General features: G+C 41.3%; 1 protein-coding gene across 13 annotated transcripts in view, besides 1 other annotated feature; it reads right to left on the reverse strand.

Annotated features, from left to right (window-relative positions):
* Positions 1-12250, reverse strand: part of ESRRG (estrogen related receptor gamma) — a 634457-nt gene that overhangs the window by 585933 nt on the left and 36274 nt on the right. For 6 of the 13 annotated variants that reach the window (XM_047449371.1, XM_017000622.2, NM_001243506.2 and 3 more), the window contains exon 1: positions 329-440. The exons of 5 other annotated variants lie outside the window; for them this stretch is intronic. The gene's annotated coding sequence lies outside the window, so the exon portion shown is untranslated. Of the gene's footprint in view, positions 1-328; positions 441-608; positions 647-1252; positions 1391-12250 lie in introns of those variants that run through there. 2 more of the 13 variants (NM_001350122.2, NM_001243505.2) reach the window with 2 other exon arrangements.
* Positions 216-416: a silencer, noted in NCBI's record as "peak697 fragment used in MPRA reporter construct". NCBI's record gives its function as "represses an SCP1 promoter by STARR-seq MPRAs in K562 erythroleukemia cells {active_cell/tissue: K562}" and the evidence as "EXISTENCE:reporter gene assay evidence [ECO:0000049][PMID:32103011]".

Raw genomic sequence — 12250 nt, forward strand, 5'->3', positions numbered from 1 at the left:
TACCAAGCACTGAAGTCTCTATCCAGGAAGGGGGATGGGAGGGGTGTTTAAAGAACAAATCTAATTGCAATTAGAATTCATCTGTGTCTCCAGCACACACGCTCACAGTTTTGCAGTCATGGTAAGGCAAGTCTACAAGAGGTGGGCAGTACTTATGGTTGTGTTATTCAGGGAGGGGTTGCTTTTTTTTTTTTTTTCCAAGAGACTATAAGCAAGTGAAGGGGGAAGGGGGTAGCAATCTAGATTTCAACCAGGACTGCAAATAAAGAATGCCCCAGATGCAAATGTCTGTCTCCAGATGTTGATGATAAGGATTTGGACCAGTTACCTTGGCAGGGTCAGAACTGCAGCAGGTTAATCAGGTGAGTCGTCGGGGATTTTAAAGAAGCCGAAGCCGGTTTCTTTGGCTATGAAAGTCTACAAAACCCCCATGCAGGAACATTGCACATCTTACACACGCCTCCTTTAACTGGGCTCCCGCGACCTCGGCAGGCGAGGGGGTGCTGGCCGGCCCTCCGGTGGCAAGGGCACGGCCCCCCGCTCTGCCCCCGCGGGCGCGGGGCCGGCCTGGCACCCGGGGTCCGCGTCCCGAGCGGCTGTGCACTCACCGAGCCGGGCTGCGAGGGGCAGAGGGGCGCCCACGGCTAGCCGGAGCGCCAAGGCGCCTCCCTTTTCTCTTGGTAGCGTCGGTCCGCACTCCCTGTGACCCAGGACGTCATGATGCCTGTCTGTTTTCTCAATGATAACTTGGCAGAAGAAGAGAGAGGCTGCCAGGTTCTCCTCGGGTGGTTACGTGGTATGTGCACGATTCTGTTTGCATGCGTTTCTCTTTTTAAAAATAAATATCTATATTTTTCTAAAAAAAATTCCCGGCACTGTCATGATTTGATTGCATTATTGCGTTTGCATAATTGACGCCTCTGGGTGTGTATATATGTGTGCATATGCGTGTGATTTTTTTCCCCTTTAAATCCTGCTGCTCCTGCCGCCGCCGCAGCCGCTGCAAACGGAAAGCAAGCATGCGTTCATCTTTTGTCTTTCATTTTACCTTCAGGGTGACATTCAGTGCCAACTGCTCCCTTTTGACCGTCACCAATCCCCGCCTGGGCAAAATAAATTTGAAAAACGTGGGGGGAGGGGAAGGAAGAGCCCCCTCAGCCCGAATGCTGGGGTTTCCATTCCTACGGCTAGGGATCCCAAACCTACCCAACCCACCTCCCAACCCTGAAAAACCATTTTCCCTTCTACCCACCGGGCCCAGGCAGAGAATCGGCACCAAGACAGCGAGGAGCATCCACCCAGGGCCAGACACTCATGTTCGCGGCTCGCACTTGCTGACTTGCATCTCTCAGTTGCATTCCCGGTGTGTAGGCCTCTCACAACTGGAGCTATTTTTGTCTCCCAGAGATGTTCTTTAAAGCCTTTTAAAAATGGGGAGGGGTCAGGGAAGAAAGAGCGAGAGACAAATAGAGAGAAAGGGACCCAGAGAGAAGCCCAAACCCCTAGTTGAGAAACTCGACTGACACATCATAAAATTTGGGGGGCTCCGGGCATCTGGCCCACCAGGGGAGTCTGGAAGGGCAAGAAGGATAACTAGATTTTATTTAACTCATTCTACAACAGCAGGAAAACTTTTTTTTAATACAAAGATGTTATTGCTAATTATGCACTGTATCTGTTATTTTTATAATTATGCTCAGAATCAGTAGGAGTGGTCTCAAGAACAATCCTTAACGTTTACTTCTGCAAATATGAGAATGCATTTTTAGCCGGTGTGGCCACATGGCAGGTAAAGCACAGATTACTTCTTTTTCTAATATTTGTGTTATTTGTACATTGTCTGGTACCTTTTATGTAGCTTCTCTTAATCATAATGTTGTGTATATTACCCAACATGTGGCATATTCCTGATAAATAAGTATCTAGCACCAGGTTTGGCAAATGCTTTGCTCTGCTTTATCAATAATTATCCATTTGGAGTAACAACATTTGTTTAGGAATTTTTATTTTCACCGAGCCTGTAGTTGGCCTTTGTCACCATCATGTATTGGTGGAGTCACTGTTCCTACTAATTCCAAATTCCTAAAAGATGACAGCAGAGGCCGAGGTTGCAAAAAATTAAGCACAAGGAGAGTTTTGAATCTGAAAAGCACAGCCGATTGAGAGAAAAACTTTTGAATTCATCCATAATAATCTGCAGCTGCTCGAAGGTTTAAAAATAGTTTACCTATTTGAGAGGTCGGATAAGTTTAATGAAAACAGCAAGTAACTTACTAGATCTTTTCCCTTTAGAGTCACAGTCCAAGAATCATTCGCAAATTCCACAGGGAAGATATTGTAATTATGCAGAGACCAGATGATCTGAATTGGAGAAACTAGACTAAGAGGGTCTGAGGACTATTGACTGATGGCCAGATCCCAAAACTTGGCCTATGTCTCTCCACCTTGAAAATTGGACATAGCTTCTCTGGCTCACTTTGCTTATCTGTCCCTTTGGCATGCCAGAAGGATGAATTGGTGCAGTCTTGTCGGGTGCTTAGATGTTACCAGAGGCATAGATGTTTCCAAAGAGGGCAAAGGCCTATTGAGAACTCAAGGAGGGATTACTATAGGCGTTATTGGTAACTTTCCAGTAACTATCCAAGAGGTACTCGTTAATATTCAATCTACCATCCTGGTTCTCCAGCTTTTTTACTTATTAACCTTGGAATTGGACCTTTAAAGACTCACCACAAAGCGAAAGAACCATAACAATTTGACTAACTTTAATCCTCTGAAATCCAATTTTGTTTTGTTCTTTTCAGACAAATGTCTTCCATGCTGTTTGTCACCACTCCACATGCCAGTTCAGGCAGCTGAGTGGTTTCTTACCCCAGGAGTGAGATGTTTGAGCAACTAGCAAAGAGTAGAGGCAGCGTACCCAAGAACTCTGGAGTTTGAATAGATCCTTTCTAAGCCTAGATTCTCTAAATCCAACTCTGCCTAGGAACCGCTCTCTGTTGCTTATTCAAGTTCAAACTCTGCAGACTACTTTCAAGTCTTTATTTTCCGGCTTCATCCAAAATATAATAGTTAATATTGTTGGAGCATGTTCAGTTTCACTTCCCAACCAAACCAAAGGGCATAAAAATGCTTACTAAGGTAGACGGAAGATATAGAAGGCAATGCCCTAAACTTTACTCATGCTTAGACCTTGTAAATCTAATTAAACCTCCTCAACAATATGGGAATGGAAGTATTATTATCCCCATTTCTGTGCCAAGGAAACTGAGGCACAGAGAAGTTGAGTAATTTGCTCAAAATTACACAGATGGGGTTCAAATTAAAGTGTCCTGAGTGTTCGCCATCAAGCTCTCTGCTTACCTACCTACCTACCTATTCAAACTTATTTCCAACTACTGGCATCACTGAGCCATGGTTCAGTCAGGCTGGTCACCCACTGTTCATCTCATACACTCTGTTGACTCACACTGCGATCCCAGTGTCGAAGCTTTCAACTCCCTCTTCACTTCCCAATTCCTTTCTGAACAAATATGCATTTTTCCGCTTTCTCTTCGGGTTTACCTAACATAGTGCTAAGTACAACACTGGCTCTCATTAAATACCTTCTGATGCATTAATTGACATAAAATTGCCTTATGGAGACCTAGAATGCCACTTTTCAATTTGACAGAAATTAAAAGTTTTATGTAGCAAAAGTGTTATCCTTTCAGCTGAAGAAATGACAAGCTAATTTCTCCATATTTTAGACAGTCCCTAGAAAACAATTTAGGGAAGCATTCTATGATAAGGTAGAACTTCATATGGGGAGTGAGGTGGGTGAGCAGGTATATAATTGTAGTACTTGAAAAGCTACTGTAAACTTAATTATTATGACTTTATAGCTCTTATGAGTCTTTCTCTGCTATATTTTGAATTTTTGATGTCAAGATATTAAAATTTCCATTTAAAAGGAAAGGAAAACAAATAAGAACCCGTAGGCAGGAGATATGTGATCTCATCTTGGAGCTGCTGCTAGTGCTCGCTGTGTGACCTCTGGCAAATTATTTAACCATTCTGGGCCTCAGTTCCCTAATTGCACAAGGAAGGGTTGAACCAGTCTCCAAGGTCCCTCCAGCTCCAAGCTTACAAGTATGACACAGGATGTGAGAGAGGAGAAAAAGCAAGAACACTCAGCCTGGAGTGAGACTTGTTTTTTTGAAGGATGCGAAAAAAATGCTGGAGAGCTCAGGTAAAGTTAGACAAGTTTATGTCTCTAATTCCTGTGTAGAGTTAAAGGCAGCTCAGGAAAAAAAAAATCCATGCAAAAATATGTTCAAACCTACGGTTTCCGGTGGCTCACACCTGTAATCCCAGCACTTCAGGAGGCCAAGGCGGGAGGATCGCTTCAACCCAGGATTTTGAGACCAGCCTAGGCAATGTAATGAGACCCCTTCTCTGCAAGAAATAGAAAAAATCAGCAGGGCATGGTGGCATGTGCCTGTTGTCCCAGCTACTCAGAAGGCTGAGGCAAGAGGATTGCTTGAGCCCCGAAGTCAAGGCTACAGTAAGCGGTGATCGCACCACTGCACTCCAGCTGAGGTGACAGAGTGAGACCCCTGTCTCAAAAAAAAAAACACACACACACATATAAAAACCCTACACTTTACAAAACTGCCCTTTTTTAATGAGATAAAATTATTTATTATTATATTTTTTATTAATAATAAAATATTATTATCTGAGACAGGATCTGGCTCTGTATTCCAGGCTGGAGTGCAGTGGCCTGACCATAGCTCACTGTAACCTCAAACTCCTGGGCTCAAGCAATCCTCCTGCCTCAGACTCTGGAGCAGCTAGGACTACAGGTACGTGCCACCATGCCCAGCTATTTTTTTAAACTTTTTTGTAGAGATGAGGCCTCGCTATGTTGTCCAGGCTGGTCTCAAACTCCTGGCCTCAGGCAATCCTCCTGTCTTCACCTCCAGAGTTGCTGGGATTACAGGCATGAGCCACTGCACCCAGACCCCAAGATGAAATTATCAACAACCATGTTTACCAGTAGCCTACCATATCAGCCAAAATGTTATTAGTCATTATTCATGTGTGCCTAAAACTTTCTTTCTAACACTATCAAATCGTATAGACCTAATTTGATATGAATGGATCCAACCTATTTTGCCTTGATGTCTTCAACTCACGTGTAGCTTGAATTAAATCATGAAGAACAGAGGTCTACAGAGACTTGGGGTATAGAATCAGAATGAGACTTTTTGCATGTTTCCTGTTTAACTGAGTAAGCCTGTGTTCTTTTCCTTATTTGTCCTCATGTGTTGAATAATTACAACTCATTGACTTTCTCATCAGGTTTTTGTTGGGATAAAATGAAGTAGTGGAAATGAGACAGACTCTACCAATACAACAAAATATTATCATGTCAGATGTGCCTTATCTTACATCTGAGTTGTATTTCTAAAAAGTTTACCAAGTTAGCAGAGCATGTGGAGACAAGATGTCAGGTCCCCTGGCTGAGAATCTGAGCTGATTTCTGCACATCTTGCTAGTTATAGGATTTCACAAGGTCCTGTAGCTAGTGAAGAGCAGAATTGAGTTGGCTATACAAATAAACTGCCCTCTCCACAGACCATTCTCAAAAGACATGGTACAAACTCTGGGAAAGTAGGCAGCCAATCACATCTCACCAAAGACCAAATTCATTCAAACATTTATTTAAAATAGAAATGTATATCAAGCCTCTGACATGAAAACAGTTTTATATAAGGCAAATTCCTTAACCAGGTTTCATTATAGCTCTAGGGATCCATGGATGAATTAAGAAACTCTTGAAGTTGTAGGCAAAGTGTGTGTCTGTGAGTGTGTGTGTGTATGTGTGTGTATTGTTCTCAAGAAAAGATCCATAACTTTTGTCACATTCTCAGAAGGGTGCATGACTCCAGAAAGGTTAAGAACCACTGATGTAAGAATCATTTATTTAAAAACTGAACTTATAAAGAATAACACATTCATTTAAGCCAAATGTCATGATGGCCACAACACAGATAGTGTATAATAATCACCAGTATTCAGAATGATGGCCTTGAGACACAATAAAAGCCTCAGTCATCAAAGACATTTATTTTCAAGGTATTTTACTTAACTGACATGGGAAAATGAACCAGCCTTTTAGAAAGATTTGAATATTGATTTAAAATGAGGTTTCTGCTTTTGTTTAAGCCAGTTGGGCAAGTCTCTGTGTGCTAAGCAAGGTGGATTAGTGTAGAAAAATATGCATTGTTTCAGAAAGCGCAGTTAGGAGTCCACTGCACTTGTTGAGGTGGCAAAGAATGGGGGACTGAGGCCGGACCTTGGCAGTGGGGAGGGAGGAGGAACTGGAGGGATATTTGGCAGGAAACTGAAATCAACAGACTTAAATGTCTGGCTTGGGCAACTGAATTAAAATGGTAGGATATTAAACAGGTACAAATAAAGGTTTTGGTAAGAAAATAATGAATTTGGTTTAAAATGTTAGATTTAAAGGCCTCTGGAACATCCAGATTCCACAGGTCTTGGGAAAGATTTAGAAGAGATTTATGAAGCATGGTGGCACATGCCTGTAGTCCCAGCTACTTGGGAGGAAGGTTGGGGCCCAGGAGTTTGAAGCTACAGTGCACCTTGATCACACCTGTAAATAGCCAGTGCATGCCAGCCTGGGCAACATTGCAAGACTCTGTGTCCACATTTTAAAACACATTTTTTTAAAGAAGACATTTATGGCTGAAGAAATTTATTTGGGAATCATCAGTAAATTAGTGATGGCTTAAGCTGGTAATAAAAGTGTGAAAAATTATAAATGTAAATGACTTAGGAGAGTCTTAAATAAAGCTGCATTTATTTGAATAAGTTCTTACTTTTAAAACATGAAATTATATAACACCCAAGGAAAAATAGTGTTGGTGACTTTAAATATTTATACAACTGTATTTGTACCATACATTTCTGAAAAAACCTATCCACCTCAGAATTTTATTTTACATTGTGGGTTTTCTGGAGTTCTTGCATTTCAAGACTCAATTTTCCATTTGAGATAGCGCATTCACTGCCTGGTTTTAGAAGGGAGAAAGAGTTTTCCTTGGCAACCAGGTTCAACTGGAAAAAATAATCAAGATGTCACCTGATGCCACAAGCTACCAACTACGTTCTCAGCTATGTGGACCTGCCAGTTGCTGAACCAGCAGAGGAAACTCAGCGTCATGGAAAGAACACTAAACTTAGAACAGTTGAGTGTGAGTCTCATTTCTGCCTCTTACTGCTTTTGCGACCCTGGGCAAGTCATTCAACTTCCCAGAACCTGGATTTCCTCTTAGTAACTGCCCTATCATCCTCCAACAATCCTCAGGTAACGATCCTTAGAGCACTGGTGTTTACGAGTCGCCAAAGGGGTGGATTGACTGAACCCAATCACATGTTTAAAAAGCCATTTCCTTGATTAACTTCCTCCAGGATGACTCCTCCCACTGTCCTCCCCATGACAGCCCACTGAGGTTAATCTCTCCTTTGTCTCTACTTCCATCCACAAACTGATATCATTGTATTTATGCTTTAATTATTATTAATATGACTGTCTTTGCTGCCTTTTGTGTAAAAGATGTTTTAGTTATTTTTTTATTCCTAGTGCCTAGCACACAGTAGATGCTCCATAAATACTAAATGAATAAACAATGATCAAGGAGAACATTTGCCTGCATCTGTTCCAATTCTCTGAAAATGCTTAAGATGAATTGGAAAATGGAAAAAAGCTGGGCTAGCCTTACTGCTAGGCTGTAGGCTACATACAGATGCTTTGCTTAGAAGGCACCTCTCCAGCCTGGGCAACATGGCAAAACCCCATCTCTACAAAAATTTTAAAAATTAGCTGGGTGTCGTGATGTGCACCTGTAGTCCCAGCTACTCAGGAGGCTGAGGTGGGAGGATCAGGATTGCGAATAGGGCTGAAGTTTTGGATTCCTATCCAGAACATGACAGTTCTTTACACTTTCACAGACCCATGAAGCTTATCCCTTCTCCTTCAACCCATGAGGATGAGGCTGCAGTGAGCTGTGATCTCACCACTGCACTCCACCCCCTCTAAAAATTAAAAAAAAGGCACCTCTCTATTATAAAACTCCTAAATTTACTGTTTACTCTTATGTGTACAGTTCTTGTAGGGAATAAAGTCTGTCATTTCCCAATCAGACTTAAAACTCAAAGGCTGACTTTCCGGGCAAGAAAATAACACTGACTTCATTTGACACTGATATGTAAATGCTCAATACCAGGCTTTGCCAGAAAGCTAAGAAAAAGAAAATGACAGCAGGAGAAGCCACTGTAAATGTAAAGGAGGGCTGCACAACCGAATGTCCTGTTTTCAAATTCCTGAGGAATTTTCCTAAGCTCTCATTGATTGTGTATTTCACTTTCAAAATGGAAATTTTATAATATTTAAGTATCGGGGTTATTGGGAAAGTTAAATGAGATAATGCATGTGATGGCATAATCCCTTGTCAAAGTAGGCAGCTGATAAAAGCAATTCTCCTCCCTCTCTTCCTTTCTTTCTTCCTAACTGCTTACCTTCCCATAAGAAAAGAATCAAGTTCATCGATTTGCAACCATGATCAATTTGTAAGTATTTCTTTTGGCCAGGCTGCTTAAAAAAAAAAAAAAAAAGATGATCTCAGGGATTAGTTTATGACCATGGTTCCTAAACTTTGCCACACATTGGAATCACTTGGAAAGCTTTTTAAAATCCTAATGCCCCAGTCACACCCCATAGCAATTAGTCAAACATCTGAGGGTGGGAACCAGGCAATAGTATTGCTTTACAATCCCCAAGTGATTCTAGTGTGCTTCAAAGTTTGAGAGTCACTGGCAAATGTAGGGAAATGGGCCTGTGGCCAGTTAATTTCATGGACTGGAGCCTGATGCAAATAAGGCTGAAGTGTTGGATTCTTGTCCAGAACATGAAAGTTCTTTACACTTTCACAGACCCATAAAGCTTATCCCTTCTCCTTCAACCCTCCATCAGCAAGCTCTTTATAAATGAACCCTAGACAGAGTCATCACAGTGAATTGACTCTCTGAGTACCAAAAAGCAAGTGAAAAAGTACATCATAAAACACTCATATTTATGGTATTTTACCATTTAGAAAGTGCTTTAACACCTGATTTTATTTACTCTTTACAACAAGCCTGCATAGCTGGCATTATTATTATGCCCAATTTATAGATGATAAAGCCAAAAAGAAAGCTTAGCTTGCTCAGGGACAAAGTGGCACATTCCAGTCTCATACTGAGATCCGGGATTCCAGAATCGATGCTCTTTTCCTGGAGCCCCTCAGAAGCTCCACTGATGATGGGCAAGTAGGAGTGTATCCACATTTGAAGGTTGCTACAGAGAAACGGTCTAGCTGCTCTATCAGATTAGGAAGGAAAACAGGAAGAAAAGGAGGGTGGAAGGGAGGGAGGGAAATACTGCTCATTATGTTTTGAGTTAAACAGGTTCCTTTCCAGCAGGCTTTTTCAAATTATTTAATGTGCCTACAATCATTCTAAGTTTCCAAAACTTATTATTTCCAAAGCGATTGAACAGTGAAACCACTTTTAACTCAGCATTTCTCAGGACTAACATCCCATGGAATGTGATTTGATATATGTTGCCATGGTTTTCCTCAGCTCCCTCAAGACTTTGTTAAAGTAGCACCCTCTTAGGGAGGACTACCTATGTCACCTGATTTAAAACAGAAACATCACCTTGCCCGCAGCCCAGTCCTCACCTACTTTCCTGCTTTATTCTTTTCCCCCATAGCCCTTAACACCTTCTAATACACTTCATAATTTACTCATTTATTTTGTTTACTGTCTCGTCTTCTATGTCTGTAAGCTCTATGAGGGCAGGGCATTCTTCAGCTATTTGTTTTTACATGGTGATATTTCCAGAACAGAGAAAAGTGCCTGGCACAGAGTAGGTGTTCAATAAACATGGAGTCCTAATGAATGACTGGATAACAAGAAATGTGCCAAGAAAGAAATGCAAATGAAGGCATCTTCTTCACAGTTAGGTGCCCTTTGAAAGTATCTTTTCCAATCCTACTTATCCCTCATGATGAGCTAATGAAGTGGATATTATTCCTACCTTATAGAAAAATAAAGTGAGAATAACAACAATTAGACCTGTGAGCAGAGCAAAAAAAAAAAAAAAGTCAAGTAAAAAGATGGTTACATTAGAATTAATTCTTTTTAATTTTCTATGTAATTATTGTGGGATAAAGCACATGTGCTAGATATTTCCAACAGTATCTATGAAATCTAATATAATGTGGATAGCCATGAATTGTACCAAGGACCAATACATCAGCCCAGGATGCTATTTTCTAGCCACCAACACCAGACCAGGCTGAGATATAAAAATTCAGAAGATCTCTGGTGCAAAAATGGTCATCATTGTCTGGATTCAGATTCTCCATCAGTGAAACCATGATTCTGAGAAACATTCTCTAGAGTTCTAACGGCAGCCAGACTGTAACACAGGTGTTAGTTGGATCCTCCCCACAATTGTACAAGGGCTCCACTACACAATAACAATGCTTTGCATCCAGGTGGAGCTTTTCTCTGTAAAGGTCAAAGTGCTGTGAGCAATTCAAACATAAGCAGGGGTGATGATGGCCCATCAAGCTCAGAAAATGACCCAGTTGACCAGTTCCTCTCCAAACACGGAGAATAACAATGAAGTGGAGAATCCGTAGTAATAATGTTGGATGAATGCTCCGTTCCGTTACATTTTCTTTTTATCCAGAAAAAAAAAAAAACGCATTTGTGAAGTGAATTATTTTGGTAATGAAAGTGGTATTTATTAAACACACTAGAAACTGCAAATCCAAATAAGTATTTCCCTTCAAAATAGTCACTTGGGGAAGCTATGTAATTACTTTAGTGATCCTGAGATTGCTCTAGACATTCTGGGAATTCCTCTTTTAAAATCACCTTCATAGATGGTTTAGGACTCATACAGAAAACCAGTATCATTTCTCTAAGGCTGTACTTTATATGACAAAAATACATTTCATTCCCAAGCCAACTTGGGTGGTCAATATAGTCAAGATATCTTGTTAAAAGCACAGCATGCCAGGCTGACCCCAACACTCTATAATAGGTCAGGGCTGGAAATGGGAGTTTGTCTTTGAATGATGGATCACCCCAGGTGATTCTGTTAGGTGCCCTTTGACAGTATCTTTTCCAATCCTACTTATCCCTCATCTAGTTTTCTTCACAAACTGTGGGTTAGAGTGCCTTGCTGGAGGACAGGGTTGGAGGCTAAACCTTATCCTGAGCCAGTTAGTTGTATTAGCCCATTTCTGCATTGCTGTAAATACCTGTCACTGGGTAATTTGTAAAGAAAAGAGGTTTAATTTTGGCTCACATTTCTGCAGACTATACATGAAGCATAGTGCTGGCACCTGCTTCTGGTGAGGCCTCAGGAAGCTTACAATCATGGCAGAAGGTGAAGGGTGAGCCAGCACATCACATGGCGAGAGTGGGAGCAAGAGCGAGAAGTAAGAGGTGCCACTCTCTTTTAAACAACCAGATCTTGGATGAACTCAGAGTGAGAACTTACTTATTACCCCAAGGATGGCACAAAGCCACTCTCAAAGAATCGGCCCCCATGATCCAAACACCTCCCACCTTGGGGATTACATTTCAACAGGAGATTTGGAGGGGACAGACATCCAAACTATATCATTAGTCTTCCTCTACTTTATGGCCACAAAGCCTGAACCTCTAACATCTAATCATTCATTCACTGACATAGCATCTTTGGAACCCTTACCATTTGTTTTACAAAGAGTAACCTATTGGTAATGAGAAAGTCAAGCAAAAAGTGTTGACGGTTAGCCTAAAACATGCCTCTATGAGACACATCCTCTTTCTTGCCAGGTTCTTTTGGCCAACCTCATGACTTCAACTTTTTCTTTGGAGACAGAACAAAAAAGAATAAGGAGCACATGCTCCAGAATAAAACTGCCTGCAGTCAAACCCTTCCTGACCACCTAATCAGGTAACCTAAGGCAAGTTACTTAATCGGTCTGTGCCTCAGTTTTCCCCATCTGTGAAATGTAGCTAATACCTCCTAGGGATGCTGACAGGATTCAGTGAGACAATGTATATGCAATGTTTAGCACAGTGATCATAGCTTTCAACTAATATCAGTTATTATTTTTGACACATGTGTTAATGATCC

The sequence above is a fragment of the Homo sapiens genome, chromosome 1 (assembly GCF_000001405.40).
Source record: "Homo sapiens chromosome 1, GRCh38.p14 Primary Assembly".
NCBI classification, from domain to species: Eukaryota; Metazoa; Chordata; class Mammalia; order Primates; family Hominidae; genus Homo; species Homo sapiens.